Genomic DNA, 21,770 nt, shown 5'->3' with positions numbered 1-21,770 from the left:
TGCATCTTTCCCATCTACTTAATCATTCATATTAATATAAACTCATGGATATTTATCTCACTCCCCGGTTTACGATCCATTACTAGAATGCTTGTTAGTGTCCTTTGGCCTGACTCCCCTCTGCCCCATCATTTTACGAACAATTCCTTACTTTCCTCTGGTATCACAGGATATTCCAGGCTCATTTTCTAATTTCCCTGCCCCAACTCAGGAAATCAATCATTTTTCTAATGAACCCTAGTTCCCTTTATTAGAGAATGCTATTTAGAAACCAGTAATGGGCAGTAGGTATGCTCATTGCTGCTGGGCCCTCTCAGCAAAGATGAAAAACATGTTTACTCACAGTGCATCTGTACATACAAAATCCATGAGTTCATAATCTCCTCAATTCCAACCTACCACCACAAGGTTCACTCTAGCCTTTCTCAACTTATTTGCAATGCATTTTTGATGAGGAACTTTTGCTCTCATTATCCACAACGTATTTACTTATTTGCTCAGTCTTAGTGTATGTGAAAGGTAGCTTTGCATTGCTAACCCATCCCCTTTACTAGCTACAGCCTTTGTGATCATTTTGTCTTCAGTCTTACAGTATACAGTGATAATACTATTTTCCAAAGTTATATATGTTGGTTTTCTTCCCTATCCCCTTCAGTGTGGTGTTACTCATTTGTAATAATAAGTTCATTAATAGTTTGTATTTCACTGAGTTCCCACACTTTCATGGTTGACTTTAATTATGTTTGGGTTATGTGAAACATAACCATAGTTGAGTCAGAGCTATACAAAAAATGTATACTGAAAGCAGCAACATTCTCCTCTTGTCCCAACTATCCTATTCCCAGTCTTCTTACTTTCCATCCTGTACCCACCCAGTGTTTGTAACTAGTTTCTGGTGTATTCTGGAGATCTTCTTCCTCACCCTTCTTTATAGCTGTGTAGGACTCCACTGTGTGGATGGACACAGTTTAGTGAATCACTATAGTTTATTGAATCACTATAAGTGGAAATGACATATAAGTCATTTCCAATAATTTCTAATTACAACCAATGCTGCAGAAAGTAACCTTGTGCATATGGAGCTTTTGCTTTATTGGAGAATTATCATTTGGGCGGATTCCTACAAGTGGGATTTCTGGGCCAACAGCAAGTGTACATGTAATTTTATTAGGTATTGCCAAGTTCCCCTCCAGAAAGGTAGTTCCAGTTTGCACTTCTACCAACACCACACAAAGGTGCCTCACCAATACAATGTGGCGTTGTATTTTACATTTCTTCCAGTCTCATAGGTGAGAAATGGCATCTGAGCTTTAATTTGCATTTGTTTGAATTTTTAAAAATAAATTTTATTGTGTTTAAAAGTATACCTGTTATGGGATACACATAAATAGAAGGTTACTAGAGTGAAGCAAATTAATGTATCCATCACTCACATTTGAATTAAAAATGCATTTTAGGGACACTTTGTATGTTTTTTGTAAATTGCTCATTTTCCTCCATTTTTCTATCAGGAGTTTGGTGCTTTGTCCTTCAATGTTTAAGAATTGGCCTCATAATTTTGTAAAACTAATTAATACTAATATATAGACTGGCACTTAGTTTTTGGCCAGGCATGGTGGCTCACACCTGTAACCCCAGCACTTTGGGAGGCTGAGGTGGGCAGATGACCTAAGGTCAGGAGTCTGAGACCAGCCTGGCCAACATGGCAAAACCCCGTCTCTACTAAAAATACAAAGTAGCCGGGCGTGGTGGCAGGGACCTCTAATCCCAGCTACTTGGGAGGCTGAGGCATGAGAATCACTTGAACCTGGGGAGGTGGAGGTCACAGTGAGCCAAGACGGCGCCACTGCACTCCAGCCTGGGGGATTAGAGTGAGACCTGTCTCCCAAAATAAACAAAATAAATAAAATGAAGTTCTCTGTCGTGACTTCAACCAAAAAATAATAATACCTAGTACATCCGAATGCAGTATGAGATGATCTACTGTGGCGTTAGGCTTTATTTTAATGTAAACATAAAGCACACATCTAAACTCTGAGAAATACAGGTAGATATGCTGGTTTACCTATTTGTATAGTCAATTCCTGTTTATTATGAAACAGCGTTATCTCTTTGTGTATCTTTTAGCTCATATAGTCAAACCCCATGCTGCCAACCTCAGGACTAAATAAACTGAGATGGGGCTTTACTATCTATGACAGAATAAATGTTTAAGGTGTTGCAAAGCCAGACATGAATCAGTTTTTCTGAGTGATTGGAAACATTTTGGTACGATTTATATCCTAACTCTTTTTGACCATTAGCAGATAAATAGGGACTATTTTCCTGCTAACAGGCTATTTTAAAATATCATTAAAAACAAATTGTATGCAGTTGTATATCCTGTTTCAGTTGTATATCTAATTATATGCCACATTCTTTCAAAAAATTGGCTTTTCATTCAGTTGTCTTAAATTTGCAAGACGAATGGTAACAATGTCTTTATGAAGATCACAATTTTGAATGTTACATGTTGAGTGAGACATTGAAAGCTGTGTTTATTTTTTTCAGTGACTGATTTTCTATGTCCATAGATGCTATAAAAACTGATCGAAGATCAACTAAAAATTCAATTACAATATTACAAATTCAACTGCAGGTACCAATATTACATTATTTGACAGGGATAATAAAATGAGCAAAGACTGGAAATCACAGACAATAACATTGCTTTCTCAATTAACAGAAAGGATTCATAACATATTCCTTAACGGTAGATGTGATTTGTAGAGAATGTGGAAAAGAACTATTGAGAAGTCCACCTGCTGCCCCAGACTGAGGCACATTAGGGTGGTTGTGGGAGGAGTTATATTTGAGGGTTCCATTTTTCCTTAGGGTATTAAAATGCATGTCCTGGTTTGTTGTTTATTTGCCATTAAGTTCTCTTCTTCAAATAAAAGAATTAGGGGAGAAAGTATGGAAAAGAAACGCACTAAACTTCTGGAAAAATTAACAGAAGCTTAAAAATAACAATTTCCAAAGAATCATTCTCTTCTTGGTATAGAGCAGTACCTGTCCTAGTTGCCTTAACTTTTTGTACTCACTGGTAAAGACAGTGATTAGTAAGACCAGTGAATTTGATACAGCCACTTGAAAGAAAAAAAGGCTGTACTACAAATACCCATGAAAACAGATTTTCTCTCACCCTTCCCTCTGCCCTCAAGGAGACAGTTAAAACAAAACTATGACAGCATTTGGTGATTTCCCACAAGAGTACTGTCAAACCTTTGAGAGAGTACTGCTGAATCTTCAGGGAAGACCTGTAGAAAGTTGAAGGCCATGAGCGAAATGAAAGTAGTTAGTTTCAGAGTTAGAACTTCTTTATGCTTTCTTTCAGGCATAAGTGCTTTTGTGCTAGTTCAGGAGAAAACACTTGCTTACACTGCTTACACCATCAACAAAAATAATTTCAGTATGGTGAGATTTGTCGCATTTTAGCAAAATTTTTAAAAAGGGTTGAGTGTTAACCATTCTGACCCTTTTAAAAAACATGCTTAAACCCATGTAAAAGCTGTAAGTGGACTAAAAATACATTAAAAAAGAGGTGGTCATAATAAAAAAAAAGAACACTTTTATACATAGGATTTTATTTTGCACTGCTGTAACAATTTCATTATAGACCAAGGGAGAAAAAGAAAAAAAGGATAAAACCACCACACTGAGTAAATTACTAAAGCTTTTCTACTTTGTAACAGGATTTTCCATCTGATAGATTTATTGTCATATCCCCTTCAAAACAGACAAGATGCTCACCATATTTTAAAGATTATAGAGGTTGCCACTGAAAGAAAAATTTTACACAGTCACTGTACATCAAGGTTGAAAAACTGTCCTGCATGAAAAATATACTTAGAAATCATGTGAATAAAAGAAAAAAGAAAACATTATTGTGTTTAAGGAAAGATTAAAGTCCTCATAATGTGCCATCTAAATGTGGATACTCATTCTTCTTGGAGTCGCTAAGATGTAGAAATTTCTTGCTTCTGCCCTTTTCACTCATTATACTGTGTTTTTTCCCAACAGTATTCATTAAGGCAAACAAATCCCTTTCTGAAGAGGTCTTAAGGAAATTGTGGACAAAGCAAACTTTTGGCATTAAAACAGGTTAACATATACAAAGCCTTTGTAATATACATTAAGCATATTTTTCTTGGACTAGTGACAAGAAAAGATGAACATGCTTGTTAACAATGTCAAAAAGTTTAAAATTCAGTGTCCAAGCAATTCCTAACAATGCTTCTGTAGCTTTAAGCTCTAAACAGTATAGAATTTATGCAAATGCATTAAAGAATTCAAGCTTGGCAAATTACACCCAAGCAGGTTATTAAACTATATATACAGAAAGTAAATGATAAATACAGAATTAAAAGAGTCCTTCTGTTTCCTTATAGCCGTGAAAATTGACAAAGTTTCTGAGGACAGTTCTATAATATTAAACATTAGGTAACCACAGATGTTGGGAAACCTAACTACACAAACCGATTTAAAATACTCAAGATGACTTTGTAGTGTTTAATACAATTCAGTTCGTAGTTAAGGGCACAAGACAACATTTAACAAAAATAATCACATCAATTGACCTAGAAATCAAATGCAAATAGATATGAATACAATCTCCAAAATCTGTCTTTTAAGTGAACATTAACCATTTATTCAAAGTTATACAAGAATTTGACGGATTAAAGTCTTCTGTGACATAAAGCCATTTCAAATAGTTTCATGTCTCAGCTGAGCAGGAGGAGAGGGGGTGAAAGAATAAGTGAGTAGGCCCCGTTGGGCAGCTAGACAGTAAAAACAGACTCAACAGCAGCCGCCCCCAGCCTGCTGTCCTCCCTGATTGCCTGCATGTGTTGCATTGGTAGCAGCATGCTGAGGGCCAATTTTAATGCCATTTGCCTGAAATAAAAGAGAACAGAACAATAAATATGACCAGACAATATAGTTTAACTAATTCTTAAAAAACTCATTTAATTCTTTATGATACAATTTTATCAAACAACTGAGAAAAATACAGCAAGTAGATTTTAGCAACAATTAAAACAATATCTCCTAAGGGATGTTCCTTCCTTTTAAAAACACTGTGGAAATGTTTCTGAAAATAATTCTTTATCATACCAGGTACGGGGTAAACAGTTATTGGATAATGCTGCTTTTCAGGAAATTCTCATAATGCAGAAATCATTTAAAATAATTATTGCAAGTAATCTTTAAAGCATAAAAATACCCAAAGCCCATGCTGCTTTAATACAACGTAAAATCTTTTCTCTAGACAGTGTTTCTGTTCCATGTTGAATCAGCTGTACAGGCTAAGGGCATATGAGTGTTCTGTGTCATCAATAATTTCTATGATCCCCAAAGACATGGCAGCTTGCCAAGAACCCACACACAGAGTAGTTCTTTCATTCATCAAACTCACACTTATGTCTTAACCCTCACTCCCTCAAGTGGATTTTACCTAAAAATACAACACTTTGAGAAAAGTAATACAGTAGCTTCAGAAATTAAGCTCTTAAGGAAACTTTACGTCACAGTAAATCTCAGATTTATAGTGCTTGGCAGTTGTTCTGCAACAGTAGTAGCCTTGGGGTTTCTGGCACTAGCTCAGTATTGACAGCAGCTGATGTGGTTTCTTTTCGCTCTTTTGACTCCTCTTTAATAAAAAGCATGCCCTATGGCTCATTGATTTTGCCCCCTCTGGGCTGGTAGCAACTTCTTGAGGAGTCAAGGAGTCAGACTTGGCATTAGGCCAAATAAATAGCACGGCCTGTTGGCTCCCAACAGCACATTACAATCAAAGCTGCATAAGGCACAGTAAAGCAGTCAGCTACTATATGAAACCAGACAGAAACAATGAATGTGCCCTTTTAGATAGAGGCCCAATTACTGTTCAATTTATATGGCATTAGTCTCTGAATGGTGTCACCTTTAAACTAACTCAAGAAGTACCGTCATATAAGCCTAGAAGATAGGATTTAGAAACTATATTACTCCAAATTAAACAATGAAAAAATCATGTACTTTTTGGAAACCTTAGGTAAACTGCTGTTTGTCTGAGCAGAGACTACTGAAGTAATAGAGAGCCTCATTTATGTATAGGATGAGAGAGACATACATAATGGCTTCCTAACACAATGCTTTTCTAACTGCAACTGGGGAGAAACCAGGGCTTTTCTTTCAGAAGCCAGAAATCTTAATACAGAATGGCAAAAATATTTATGTAAGAATAAGTAGGCTACATCCACATAAACATTTTGAAATAAATACAGATAAATGCAGAGTGGGGATGTGGGTCAAGTGATGATCTTTGGTGAACACTCTGAATTAGATGCTTCAAAGCTTTACATTTTATCCTAATCATGTTGACCAAAACAGGATCAAAATAACATTACAAAAAACCCTATGCCAAATGCCAATTTTATATATATATATATGAATTTAGTCTCCTGAAAACATGCTATGCTATATTGGGAGTAATTTCCAAATTTGGTATTTCCCTCTTTCCTGCCAGATAACAGAGAGAGCATCTTGCATTAGTACATAGTACATGCATTTATATACCAGAACATTATTCCCAAAGCAGATGACACCATATGGTCATGTGGATAAAAGTGGATTTTCTTTTCTCTTTGGGGGATTTATATTATTTTGCATTGCTTGCAATGAATGGATAGGGCCACTTACTTTAATCCATTTCCATAGACAAAGTGTTGCTCTACTAGAACATAAATATTTAACTACTATACCACATATACCAATTTTTCAGTTGGATGACTGTAAACTAATGGTGTTAACTGATTATCATGATTGATTTTAGGAATTAAAAAAATTATAAAATAATGAATTATAAAATAAAAAATATAAAATAGTAATCAAAAGTGAACTCTAAATTAATATTGACCAACAATATTTATATGTATATACCTCATTATTAATGTCAAAGACTCCTTCTTGAATTTTTTCATAAATTTCTTTTGCTGTATTAATAAATGCCTGAAATATAGAGAAATTGGTTCATATTATATAAAACCAAAGCAGTAAAATAACATTATATATGCTCTATAGAATATCATAACATTCAACATATGAAAGTCAATCGACGTAATACATATTAATAAAGAACAAAGATATTAATAACATATTAATAAAGAACAATCGATGTAATACATTATATTAATAAACAAGCCCTCATGATCATCAATAGACATAGAAAAAGCATTTGACAAAATCCAACATTTCATGATAAAAACACTCAAGTCGAAATAGAAGGGAACTCCTCAACCTGATCTAAAGAATGGCATCTAAGAAAAACTACATCTAACATCATATTCGAAGATGAAGGCTGAAAGCCTTTCCCCTAAGATTAAGAACAAAGGATGTACGCACATGCTAATTAGCATTACAAACAGCATTATTCACAACAGCCAACAAGTGCAAACTACAGAAATGTTCAGTCAATAAAAAACAAAATTTGAGATATTCAATTAGTAGAATATTATTTGGCCATAAAAAGGAATGAAGTACTGATTCATGCTACAATGTGGATGAACCTTGAAAACACTGTGCTAAATGAAAGAAGGCAGACACAAAACGCCACAATACTACAACTCCATTTGTACGAAATGTCTAGAATAGGCAAATCCATGGAGACAGAAAGTAGATTACTGGTTGCCAGAAGCTAGATGGAAGAGAAAAAGGGGAGAGAATGCTAATGAGTATGAGGTTTCTTTTTGGGGTAACTAAAATGTTCTGGAATTAGATAGTGGTGATGGTTGTGTAACTTTGTGAATAGACTAAAAACCACTGAATTGTTTATTTATTTATTTTTGAGACAGGGGCTCACCCTGTCGCCTAGGATGGAGTGCAGCGGCGCAATCTCGGTTCACTGCAACCTCTGCCTCCCAGTTCAAGTGATCCTCTCACTTCAGCCTCCTGAGTAGCTGGGACTACAGGTGTGTGCTGCCACACCCAGCTAACGAATTGTATAGTTTAAAAGCATCAATTTTATGGTATGTGAATTATATCTCAAAAGAAAACATCATGACCATGAGAGGAAAAAAGAATATTGGAATATGAGAACAGCACACAGAGAAAAACACATTTCAATTATGTAAACTGCATAATCCTCCATGTAAAAACTAGCTTACTTCTGGATAATACAGTTCCACTCAGGGCCTTTTTTGCCATGATAATGTATTATTTAGTATATAGTTTAAGAAAGCAAAATCAAAGGACGCTTACGATAAAGAGAGAAAAGACGGCTCAACTTCTTTGCCATTAAATTGTCAAAATAAAAAACTACTGTTGAAATACTGTAGACCAAATGAAGCCTATAAATACCAAAATTTATACACAAGCATTCTCTATGTAAAATATTTAGAAATTATATATAAATATTACGAATGCTATAGAAGGCATATACAAACTCTGAATAGGTTCTAAACTATCAGATTTGACAGATCACAGATAACAGTACCAATCAATAAAGTCCTCTTCAATTAGCATTCTATAAAAATTCATAAAAGAAAGCTATACTCCATTACCACTGATACAGACCTAATTTAAAGTTTAAAAAGTAAACAGCATTCATGGAGAGGAACAAATCATACCTTTTATCTTTTCTACACTGGAAACATTTGACTGCTGAACTTGCCATCAGAGCTTTTGTTTCCTAATTAACAGGACTGATATGTTTTCACCTTTAAAGGCCTTACAGCTCCCCAGAGTAATCAATCTACTGCAGCTCAATTACTGCACCAAGCACACACCAGTCAGTGAAGGAGATCTGAACGTCTGCGGCAGGAGCACAGAGATATGAATATGCATAAACTCTAAGTGGCTGATCGAATCATCACAGAGGGTCATGAGAATTTGCAGCAAAATAATGAGAAGAATTAATCACTGCAGATTCACAAGGCACTTAGGACGCGAGTGCGCTTTTCATGTATGTGCTAGAGCTAAACTGAAGAGGGAACTGGCTTTCAGCCAAGTATGAATTGATTCACATTCTTCAAAATTGAGGTTATCCCTATAAATAAGGAAAAACTTAACTTTATTTCCAATAACATGTCAATTACTGTGATGGCTTTAGAAATCAAGCTACCTAATATTGAAGTCAACAGATACATAAATTCACAGGGCTGGAAGTGCTTCCAAGAGCATCCACATGTGCACATTTCACTAGAATGTTACATAGAACTACAAGGCCCCATAAGTGAGTTATAACTTCATACAAACAAGCACTTTTATACTACAAAAGTTATTATTAAATGTGTCAATTTGCATAAAAATTGCCTTTTTGCCCGTCTGGTAATAAATCACTTTAAAAACAGGCTTAAGAAAGTGATGCTACATAAAATTAAGTAAGTCACTACTAATTTTATTACCTAAATAGTACTGAATACTTTATTAAGCACTTTTAAACATAGTTGTACCAGATGAATTAAGGATGTACATACAGTATTTTTTTATCTGAAAGGCATGCAATTAACTCCATTACAACTGAAATATAACAAATAATCTTTGGATAATGCTACATTACTTGGTCGTTCAATCTCTGATTACACATTACAGACAATAAAATCAAGTATTTTCTACCCCCTGAGCATATTATAGAGGATACAATACAAACGGGTTGTTTTACATACTTCATGACAAACATTAATATTTAATATATATTACTAAGTGATTAATGACTAATTTTAATGAGTCCTTTGCGTTTGAAACCCAGCATGACAAATGTAGACATTAATATACTTGTTTTAAAAGTATGTGGCTATTTGCAATAACACTAGGCTTTGCACACACACACAAACAATAAAATATGTGGCCATGGACTTTGAAATTGCTGAGTTCCTAAATATAATGAACATTAACCAAATACTAGTAAGGCTTATGAGAGGTCAAATAAAAGTTCTAAGGTAAGAGCCTTGGGTGTCACAGATAAAATCTCCTCCACTTAAGATGCAAAACATTTCCAAAAAGATGAGAAATATGTATGTATATAACACATTGGCTGGGATTTTAAAAAATTGATCATTTCACTCTATTCATTAAATATCAATCCCATATATAAACTTTTTAAGGTATAGATGTTTCTAATCCATCTTTAGACCACTGCATTCCATATATATATAATGTACAAAAATACATTTTAAGTATTGGTTGGTAAATATCTCAAGGCAGTACTAATGTTCTTCACAGAATTAGTTTAATTTGAATGGTTAAGCTATTCTCTTAAAAATACCTTATCTATAGATGTTAAACATATTGTAGTTTTGAATCTCTAGCACAATACCTAAAATAGCATAGGTACTTAAACCGCCTTTGTTAAACTCAATTACCCTTAGCAAGGAAATACCTACAGGGTAAGGTGGGCTTACATGAAATTGCTGGTTTCTTTTTGCTTATGTACATCTCTTTAGGGGCAAGCTCTTTTAAGACTTCATTAAGGGACAAGCAGTAGGCAAAACTAATAGGTTTTAGAATAGGAAAAAATATTTGTTAACAAACTGATGTCAAATGATTTCATTTGTTTCAATGATTTCACTGTTTGCACCATGAAACAAGCAATGTCTAGGCAGATCCACGATTATGAAGTATAAACAGATTTCTCTGCAGCCAACTGAATTTGGTGGTCCTCCTGCTTCCCCATGTGGCCGGTGCTCTGTTGCAGTAAAAGAAGCCTGCCTCTCTCATTTTACCACTAGCCTTTCCTTTCCCCCAGACTTTAACTGCCACATTCAGTCCTTTACCTTCCTTTTCTTCCTTAGCCATTCATTCTCTTGCTTTCCACCTCAAACACTAATCTTTCAGTGTTTGGCAGCAGTTAATCTGAATGATACTGATAATACCTAAACTTAAGGCAAAATTTCAGGGACTTCGATTGCACAGTTGAAACAACCGTAACCACAAAAGACTATAAATATGTTCTAATTCAAATAAACATTCAGTAAATACACACGCTAATGTGGATCTTACATATCACTGACATTTACCCAAGGGCACCTGTTAAAACTATTGTCACTGGCCAGGCTCGCACCTGTAATCCCAGCACTCTGAAAGAGGCGTAGGCAGGAAGACTGCTTGAGGTCAGGAGTTTGAGACCAGCCTGGGCAATGTAGTAAGACCCCTGTCTCTATTAAGAAAAAAATCGTTGCCACATATTCAGAACTTCTGTAGGTACCATGGAAGACACAAAGATGAGGAGGACTATTGTTGCTGAACAATAGGAACTATTTAGGTAGGAATAAAATCATTTAGTTGGCAGAATCTAAGCCCAATGGCTCAAATCTCCATAAAGATGGAAGAAAAAAACTTTCTGCACTAACCGATAGAAGAATGCAGGGCTGGATTAAGGCAGGTCTCACGGATATTGTGCTAACAGGGTCTTTAAAATAGACTGGAGAGAATGCAGGCAAAGGGAAACATGAGATACTATTTTATTTTTTATTATGGTTGGGCAGTTTTTAAGGCAAAATATTGAAAATAAATGATCTTCAATAGAATATTTAAATTACTTCCTTACATAACATGCTGCCACCTGGTGGCATGATAAAAATTAGGTAAGACCAGTATTTTGGACAGTTTAAATATCTTGAACAGATGCTACAGAGCAGGGTATCTTGTAAACAAGCGACTTTTAGTTTTCTCTTAGAACTGAGAAATATGAGGTAGCTAAAATGTGGCTTTTCTTCTCAACTGCTAAAAGTCAATGCTATGAACATTACAGTTATCCATTTGCCTAAGTTAATAATAATCAATATATACTAAGTATTTACTATGGGACAGTCACTATACTGATTTACAAAGGTTTTCACTATTTCTTAAAAGAAATTCTAAGTATGTAAACAAATAAGAAAATTAATGTTAACTTTATTTTGCTTTCAAGAAAATCTGTATTTGTGGGATGAAGTTAGACCTTTAAAATGAACAGAATTACTGAGGGCTCTAGAACCAGGCTCTCCAGGATCAAACCCCAGTACCACTTCTTACCAGCTGTGTTGCTCTGGAACCAGTGCTTAGCCTCTCTGTAAAATGAGGATGATAACGTGGGAAATATGTGCTTTTTTAATGTTCAATTATAACTGCAACATACAAAACAAATGAAAATTCCTTTGACTTGTATTAAAGATAAATGATCCTAATAAAGGAAAGATAAATGTAGCCCACTTCATAGGATTGCTAGGAAGGTTAATGTAAAGCACTGAAAACCGTGCTTGACATGTAGTAAGCACCCAATAGGTGTGTCAGCTGTTGGCATGAACGTCTGGATGCAAAGACACATGGGGAACAACAGGAGAAGGGAGTACTGGTGCTAAATGTGTATGTGCCCTGCAGACACTCCAAAGTCAAGGAGAGAAATGGTGATCAATGCTCTATAGTCAATTCATATATCTTGATTAAATAGAGCTAAACCTTAAAAAAGTGAATTGGCAACATATAATGTGCACAATGAGCCCCCCAAAATAAAATATATTTAATAAGACTTAGATATTGGGCAAAGATAGGAGAGTCCTGTGAAAAGCACAGCAGACTAGAATTTCATATTAGGGAGTTTAAGAAACTTCTTCAAATTCTGTGATTCTATCTGATTTCGGGTCAGTGAAGAAAAACTCGTATATCATCCAATAGTGGCTTTTAAACTGTATTTCAAGGCAATTCTGCAGGGGCCACCTTTTGGAATGAGATGGAGTAGGGACAGCCCTGTGGAGGGAGAACCTCTGCCTCTTCCCCGCCTCTTTCTATAGCATCACCAGTTCCAAAGTAGAGCTGTTGTGGTGTTACTTCTCTCATACAGTTTCTCTGTGTTTCACTAGAAGGAAAAGGGCCATTGCTAAATCTACAATCTATAATTTTCTCATTTTGTAGATATGACTGAGCTGCAAAAGGAGAAACGACTTGCCCAAGACCACACATAATTACAGCAGACGCAGGATTAGAATCTAATAGTCTTCTCACTACATATATCTTTCCTTTATTAGGATCAGCTATCTTTAATACAAGTCAAAGGAATTTTCATTTGTTTTATGTTGCAGTTAAAAATGAACATAAAAAGCATATACTTCCTACATCCTTTAAAACCCTTTTAGCTAGAAATTATATTGGATTTCTAGGATTATTTTTGGAAGTATATAAAATTTGTATTATTTACATCTTTTGTCTCTTTCCTACCCTTTACAAAAATTAGTATCACCAGTATCAATGCTAATTAAAGGAAAGTAGGGAGCCTAAACACATCTTAATTTTAGCAGGAAACTGAAGAGGGGAAGAAACTAGAACTATTTGATTAGAAAGGTTTGGGGAATATGGCATTTAAGAATTTCCTGTTCCTAGAAAACCAAACACTGCATATTCTCACTCATAAGTGGGAGTTGAACAATAAGAACACATGGACACAGGGAGGGGAACATCACACACTGGGACCTGTAGGGAGGTTGGGGAAAAGGGGAGGGAGAGCATTAGGACAAATACCTAATGCATGTGGGGCTTAAAACCTAGATGACAGGTTGATAGGTGCAGCAAACCACTATGGCACATGTATACCTATGGAACAAACCTGTATGTTCAGCACATGTATCCCAGAACTTAAAAAAAAATAGTTGTTTATTTTAGGGTTTGTTGCTGCAGCATAACATAGCAACAGCTGCGCAATGCAGATTAATAATTGGTTTTCTATGTAAACTTAATAGTTTTAAAAATCATAAATATTGCAGCATTTTACTCTTCAGTACTGAGTATACTGAACCAATGACTGACGTTTTGTAATTCAAGTGGATTTAAACTTAGCTCATAAAGAAAAATTTTACTCCAAGTTATTCTTAGAATGCTTATTTATATTCAAAAGTAAATATTAAAATGTTTTCAATTAAAAAAAGAATTTCCTGTTCCTACTTTCTGTCAGAGGTAACACAAAAATGTTTAATTCCTTAGCAATTTAGTTCTTCCATTTAATAAGCATTTCCTGAGTGCTTGATTTGTACCAGGCACTGAGGACACTCAGATAAATATGAATACCTTACATCTCAAGGATGTGGTATATAGGATAGATATGCATCCAATATGCGAACATAGAAGAAAAACCTTCAGTTGCTTAGATGAATAAGGTAGCATGACCACTTCTGAGAGAGAAAAGCCCTGCAAGTGAAGGCCTGAAAGACAGGTAAGCTCCCACTCATATATTAGGAAAACTGAGGGGAAGAAGGGCATTCTGGACAGAGGAGCAGATTTTAAGTTCAATTCTGTTGGAAGCTGAGGACGGCCAGGAACGTGAGATAAAGTTAGAGATGTGGCCCTATAGGCAGAGGAACCCTGAAAAGGTAGGAAGCAGGGGAGGGACAAAATCAGAGGAGAGTTTAGAGAATGAATCACAAGGGGGCGATACTGGCCACAGGGAGACTGAGGAGTCCAGAGCAATGACCCAAGAAAGAAAGGTCAGATGGTGGCAACGAGAATGAATGGCAAAGCTCAAACCTAATATCTGTTGTGAAGAAATTAACAGGACTTTAAGTGACAGAGTAAAATGGTGATATGTTTATGGATGACTCCGCTTTTGGTTTAAGTGATGAGATAAAAGGGTATACCATGAATTGAGATAAATTAAAAAGGAAGAAAATCAGTTTTCAAGGAAGGAATGAAAAATTTCTTTTAGACACGTGGAATTCTAATACATCGTACAAGTGGGAAACTCTTGGTAGATGGCGATCTATATAATTGTGCACTTATATGGGAATATAAGCTACAGATAAATGTGAGTGTGTAAGTATATGACATGCATTTATTAGCATAATTTTCTTGGGTAATGTTTAGCCACCCTGGTTTAGAAGTACAGAAAATGGATGCAACTTTCAAAGTCAGAGTTTGGATCATCTATGAAGTTCCGGGGATGATGGCCAAATTAGAGGTGAAGAAGCTGATGCTAGTCAGCCAAGTCTACCAAAATGTGGAGGAGAGTGGTAAATATTTATTAAACTAAGCTATCCTCAAGGGATACTGGAAAACTGCTGAGGAAGGCCAGGTCAGATTTCCACTGAAGTCTTGTGGTATGCATCCATGGGCTTAACACTCAGAATAGATTTAAGGGGGAAACAAAGCCTTCAGTTTACAACCTCATTACAGCTACATAAAAATACTCATTCCACCAGTTACAACAAAGCCCAAGACAAGATGGTCCCTCAATGCAAATAAAGTCTACAGACTTTCAAGTACTGAGACAGAATGCAGGTATTAGCAAGGGGACTTGAAACTGGTAGTCTTCCTAGTTACTAATGTCTTAGTAAGTCATGTGTTCTCTCTGGACATAGAAATTCATCTATCCTGTCAGTTTAGGTGGCTTGGTGGGTTACTGCAATCTGTCTTAGGGTTAGCTGGTTGTATTTTCAGCTATAGTCTTGGTGGTATCTAGTACTTCAGTAGCATAAATACTTCAGCAGCATAAGCATAAGGCTTCTGGGAAGGGTGGGGGTTTACCTAGCCTGCCATTATGACATGAACATCTCTCCACCTAAAAAGGCCTTTTCAAACCACAAAGATTCCAGGCAGCTACTGAAGGAAGAAGCACCTGATGAGAGGCCAATTTGCTTGTCTGGATTTTTTTTTTTTTTTTTTTTTTTTGAGACACAGGGTCTCCCTTTGTTGCCCCGGCTGGAGTGCAGTGGCATGATCTCAGCTCACTGAAGCCTTGCCCTCCTGAGCTCAAGTGATCCTCCTACCTCATAGCTGGGAGTACAGCAGGCGTGTCCCACCATGCCTGGCTAATTTTTTATTTTTTTGTAGAGATGAGGTTTTGCCATGCGGGCCAGGCTGGTCTCAAACTCCTGGCCTCAAGTGATCTGCCCACCTTGGCCTCCCTAAGTGTTGGGAGTATAGGTGTGAGCTACCATACCCAGCCTCACCTGGATTTTCTAAAATCTCATGTTTTAAAATGCTTGGGCAAAGATAAGGTTTAGGACAGAATTCTACCTACATGTAACAAATGGGACCAAAGCATAACCAGAATGAAAGACTGAAGGAAGAAGAACATGGTTGAAGCAAATACATACTTACTCATCCAAACTTTTGTTATCTACCATGTGGGGGTTGCAGAAATGAAAAGAGTCTGTGTCTTTAAAGAACTCAATCCTTTTGGTGGGCCGACATGACAAACAAGTGCAATGATATCATACTAAGGTGAATTCATGCCCAGGACAACACAGGAATAAGGAGAAGAAGAAGTCTATCAATTCAGATGTTGTGTGTGGTGGCTGGTGGCAGAAGGAAGACATGCTGGTGTCATGGAACACATTCCAGAGGAGGGATCAGACTTAACCATACCCTTGGAGGATCAAGTCGGAAGGAAGGGCATTTCAAGTGCAGAGAATACTTTTTTGTGGAGAAGGGGAGAGAACACTGTAAAGCTGATCGACTCCTAGTTTACTATGGAGAGCATATGGTGTGAGGGGTTGGCAATCAAAGCATCCTGCATGCCAAGCTAAGGAGTTTGATGCTGAAGCTGTGGGGAACCACTGCATGGTTAATAAAACTGGAGAGAGACATTCAACCTTCATTTTTAGAAAGATCCCAGAGGTCACAGTGTAAGGGACTGAAAAATGAAGACAGGAAGTCCAATTAGGATACAATTATGACAGAAGACAATTTGGAGAGATATTTAATAGGCAGAAACAATAACAGGTGAAAAGTGATACGTATTAACTGAATAAATCAATGTCAAGGGGTAAGAGAAAGAACACTATAGAATAGAGGATCTGTAGACTAGAATAGAGAAGGGCTATCAGTTCAGCTGGATGTGTTAAATCGGAAGGGTGTGAAGATCACTCAGCACAACTGTCTAGGCAGCAGCTGTCAGGGTGGAGCTGAACATACAGCCTAAAATGGTACCTGAAGTAACAGACTTAGGTGATATCTCAAAGTGGAACAAAGAACTGGTAAAAAAAATCTGGGGAAGGCCAGTGAGGTGGGGTGGGGGTAAAGGAAGAGGGAGGGAGGGAGGGAGAGGAGGAGAAGGAGAAGGAGAAGGAGAGAGAGGAGAGAGAGAAGGAGGAGAAGGAGAGGAAGAAGGAGAGGAAGAAGGAGAGGAAGAAGGAGAGGAAGAGGGAGAGGGAGCAGGACCGGGGGCGGGGAGACACAGAGAGAGAGAGAGAAAGAGAAAAAGAAAGAAAACGGTGTCATGGAGCTAAGAAAGAAGTTTACTGAAGAGTAGTCAAAAGTATCAAATATTCCCAAAGGACTGTTTAAGCTAAGAACAGAAAAGCAGAAAAAAAAAGGTATAATTCTTGCTTTTTGGGCGCCTATACAGTCATCATTACTGTTAACATTTTGGTGTATTTTCTTCTAGCCTTTACATATTATGCATGATATGTTTTTATTATTCTTTTACTTATTCTCTATTTTGCAAGCTTTCTTTCATGCAATTACTTTTTTATAATAAACTTTTTCTAAAAGTAAAAATAAATACCAAAACAAACAAACAAACAAAAACCCAGAAAAGTATTTGTTAGTTGTGGCTTTTAGGAAGACCAGGATGACCTTGGCCGTGGTGGAAGAAGTCAGACTATGAAGACAGGTGAGAAAAAGAACAAGGAAATGGAGACAGCTCTTAATAGAAGCCAGAAGGAAAAACATCCAGGAGAAATGGAGTGAAAGGATTTTATAAGATGGTTGAAACTTAATTACATGCTGGGAGCCAAGAATCAATAGAGAAGGAAAGGGTGAATATAATGAGATGGTTTGAAGCAATAACATCTCTGAGGAAATGGGAGGAGACAGCACTCTGCCTGATTGTCCTGTGATAGAACAGACTGGACTCCTCTACAGCCTCTCTATCTCTTCAGAGTGTGACCCCTGGATCAGCAGTATCTACATTAGTTGAGGACTGGTTACAAATGCAAGCTCCCAGGCCACACCACAGATCTACTGAATCAGAATCTGCATTTTAACAGAATTCTTAAGTGTACATTAGTATTTGGGAAGCTCTGGTCAAAAAGACAACTGACTTAGGTAGGCTGGGCATGGTGGCTCATGACATAATCCCAGCACTTCGGGAGGCCGAGGTGGGAGAACTGCTTGAGCCGAAGAGTTTGAGACAAGCCTCGGCAACATAAGAGAGACACTGTCTCTACAAAAACCTTTTTTTTTTTTTTTTTTTTTGAGATGGAGTCTCGCTCTGTCGCCCAGGCTGGAGTGCAGTGGCGCGATCTCGGCTCACTGCAAGCTCCACCTCCCGGGTTCATGCCATTCTCCTGCCTCAGCCTCCTGAGTAACTGGCACTACAGGTGCCTGCCACCACGCCCGGCTAATTTTTTGTATTTTTAGTAGAGACAGGGTTTCACCATGTTAGCCAGGATGGTCTCGATCTCCTGACCTTGTGATCTGCCCGCCTCGGCCTCCCAAAGTGCTGGGATTACAGGTGTGAGCCACTGTGCCCGGCCCAAAAAAATCTTAAAAAAAAAAAAAAAAAAGACAATTGACCCGAAAAAAAGAAAAGTCTTATGAGGCATTCTTAGTTTAGCTTAAAAAAGAAAAAGCAGTCTCCATGCACCCACCACAACATATAATAGTGACCATGAAATAAGAGAGTAAGCAAAATAACACAGACATCAGTCCATGGTATGTTAAGAGATGTTACGCATCCCCCGCCAATTCCAATTTTAGGCATTTCAGAGACTTTCCAGGAGCCCAACCCATCACAGGCCTGGAGGCCCTAAGAGGGAAGAACAGTTTTGTAGGTCAGGCCACGGCCCCACCACCTGTGTTGCCTCAGGACACTGCTTGTGTATCTCAGCCACTCCAGCTCTAGCTGCAGCTCAAAAAGGCCCAGGTATAGCTTGGGCAACTGTTAGAAAAATTTGTCGACTTTTACTTAATCCAGATTTTCCAAGTATTACTTGTGTATACAATAAATATCTATGTGGTTGTATATTAGTGTTATTAATGTAGTATATGATAGTACTCTCTCTCTCTATGATCCTGTCTTGAGAAATTCTTCCCGCTAAGTAACACCTAGTTTAGGAAGACTAGGGCATTTTATTCTTATGCTCTTTGGAAATAAACTTCAAAGTGTTGTCTTGGGTGCCATTTTAAATTTAAGATCCTAGTTCAAGATAGGCAGCATAAATTCAGGTAAGAGCAAAACAGTTGGAATATCAGAGGTATAGTTAAAGGATCTGGGTACCAATATCATCTGGACAGATACTAAAATATTTAAGAGTATTCACTGTAGGATTCACAGGTCAGAGACAGCTCCAAAAATAAAAGTGGTGTCACTTCCTAACAGTACTTCCTAGTCTTTACTCCCTCCTTGCTCAGGGTATCACTGAAATGAAGCATTTTATATACATGTATTAGTCCCTTTTGCCTATGAGTCTTTACTCCCTCCCAGCTCAGGGTGTCACTGAAATGAAGCATTTTTGTTTGTTTGTTTGTTTTCTAAGACGGAGTCTCACTCTGTCACCCAGGCTGGAGTGCAGTGGTGCAATTTGAGCTCACTGCAACTTCCGCCTCCCTGATTCAAGTAATTCTCCTGTCTCAGCCTCCTGAGTAGCTGGGACTACAGGCGCAAGCCACCACGCCCGGCTAATTTTTGTATTTTTAGTACAGATGAGGTTTCACCATATTGGTCAAGCTGGTCTCGAACTCCTGACCTCAGGTGATCTGCCCGTCTTGGCCTCCCAAAGTGCTGGGATTATAGGCGTGAGCCACCACCCCCAGCTTGAAATGAAGCATTATATATATATATGTATATATGTATTAGTCCCTTTTGCCTATGAGCCTGTAAAATAAATAGTTAGCTACTTTCAAGATACAATGGGGACACAGGCATTGGGTAAATACTCCCATTCCAAAAACGAAAAATTGGCCAAAAGAAAGGGGCTATAGGTGCCATACAAGTTCAAAACCCAGCAGGGCAGTCATCAAATCTTAAAGCTCCAAAATAATCTTTTGACTCCATGTCCCACGTCCAGGGCACAGGGGTGTGATGGGTGTGCTCCCAAGGCCTTGGGCAGCTCCACCACTGTGGCTTTGCAGGGTTCAGACCCCACCACTGCTCTCACTGGCTGGCACTGAGTGCCTGTGGCTTTTCCAAGTGATGGGTGCAAACTGTTGGTGTATCTACCATTCTGGGGTCTGGAGGACGTGGTCATCTTCTCACAGCTGCACTAGGTGGTGCCCCAGTGGGGACTCTATGTGGAGCACCAAGCCTACATTTTCCCTCTGCACTGCCCTAGAAGAGGTGCTCTGTGAGGGCTCCACCCCTGCAGTAGGCTTCTGCCTGAACATCCAAAGTTTTCCATACATTCTCTGAAATCTAGGCAGAGGTTTCCAAGCCTCAACTCTTGGACTCTGTGCACCCACAGGCTTACCACCACATGGAAGCTACCAAGGCTTGTGGCTAGCACCCTCTGAAACAGTGTCCCGAGCTCTTCCTGGGCCCCTTTGAGCTACAGCTGGAACTAAAGTGGCTGGGATGCAGGGAGTAGTGTCCTGAGGCTGTGCAGGGTGGTGGGGCCCTGACCCTGGCCCTGACCTACAAAACCATTCTTCCTTCCTAGGCCTCTGAGCCTGTGAGGGAGGGGCTCCTGTGAAGTCTCTGAAATGCCTTCCAGGCCTTCTCCCCATTGTCATGGCTATTAGCATTTGGTTCCTTTTTACTTATGCAAATTTCTGCAGCCTGTCTGAATTCCTCTCCTGAAATGGACTTTTCTTTTCTACCACATGGCCAGGCTACAAATTTTTCACCTTTATGCTCTGCTTCCCATTTAAGTCTAAGTTCCAGTTTCAGGTCACTTCTCTGCTCACACATATGAGATAGGCTATTAGAGGCAACCAGGCCACATCTTCAATGCTTTGTCGCTTAGATAATTTTTCCGCCAGATATCTTAAATCATCACCATTCAAGTTCCAAGTTCCACAGGTCCCTAGGGCAGGGGCACAACGCAGCCAGCTTCCTTGCTAAAGCATAACAAAAGTGACCTTTGCTCCAGTCCCCAATAATTTTCTAATCTCCATCTGAGACCTCCTCAGCCTGGGTTTCATTGTCCACATCATTATCAGCATTTTGGTCACAATTCAAGCAGTCTCTAAGAAGTTCCAAATTTTTCCTCATCTTCTGAGCCCTCCACACTCTTCCAACCTCTGCTCATTACCCAGTTCCAAAGTTGTTTCCACATTTTGAGGTATCTTTATAACAAAGCCCCACTCCTCAGTACCAATTTTCTGTATCAGTCCTTTCTCCCGCTGTTATAAAGAAATACCTGAGACTGGGTAATTTATAAAGAAAAGAAGTTTAATTGTATCATGGTTCTGCAGGCTGTACAGGAAGCATGATAGTGGTATCTGCTCAGCTTCTGGGGAGGCCTCAGGAAACTTACAATCATGGCACAAGGCAAAGGGGGAGCGAGGCACTTCACGTGACCACAGCAGGAGAAAGAGAAAGAGGTGGGAGGTACTACATGCTTTTAAACAATCAGATCTCATTAGAACTATCACAAGAACTGCACCAAGCGGTATGGTGTTAAACCACTCATAAGAAACTGCTCCCGTGATCTAATCACCTCCCACCAGGCCCCACCTCCAACAATGGGGATTAGAATTCAATATGAGATTTGGGCAGGGACACAGATCCAAACCCTATCTGTCTGTCTATCAATCAAGCATCTATTTTCTTTCTTCTTTTCTTTTCTTTCTTCTCCTCCCTCTCCCTCTCTTTCTGTCTTTTTAAATAGAGACAGGGTCTTGCT

The 21,770-nt window shown here is 38.2% G+C and overlaps 1 protein-coding gene across 2 annotated transcripts in view; it reads right to left on the bottom strand.

Annotated features, from left to right (window-relative positions):
• Nucleotides 1-1,964: 1,964 nt before the first annotated feature.
• RAB2A (RAB2A, member RAS oncogene family) overlaps nt 1,965-21,770 on the bottom strand; it is a 106,735-nt gene continuing 86,929 nt past the window's right edge. For both annotated transcript variants that reach the window (NM_001242644.1, NM_002865.3), the window contains 2 exons: nt 6,961-7,029; nt 1,965-4,935 (listed from right to left, as the gene is read on the bottom strand). In NM_001242644.1, the coding sequence (NP_001229573.1) occupies nt 4,840-4,935; nt 6,961-7,029 (165 nt within the window). In that variant the 3' untranslated portion in view covers nt 1,965-4,839. The remainder of the gene's footprint in view (nt 4,936-6,960; nt 7,030-21,770) is intronic.

This window comes from Homo sapiens, chromosome 8 (assembly GCF_000001405.40).
Source record: "Homo sapiens chromosome 8, GRCh38.p14 Primary Assembly".
NCBI lineage: Eukaryota > Metazoa > Chordata > Mammalia > Primates > Hominidae > Homo > Homo sapiens.
Note: the sequence above shows the minus strand (reverse complement) of the source record. Positions and strands in the feature narration are given on the sequence as shown.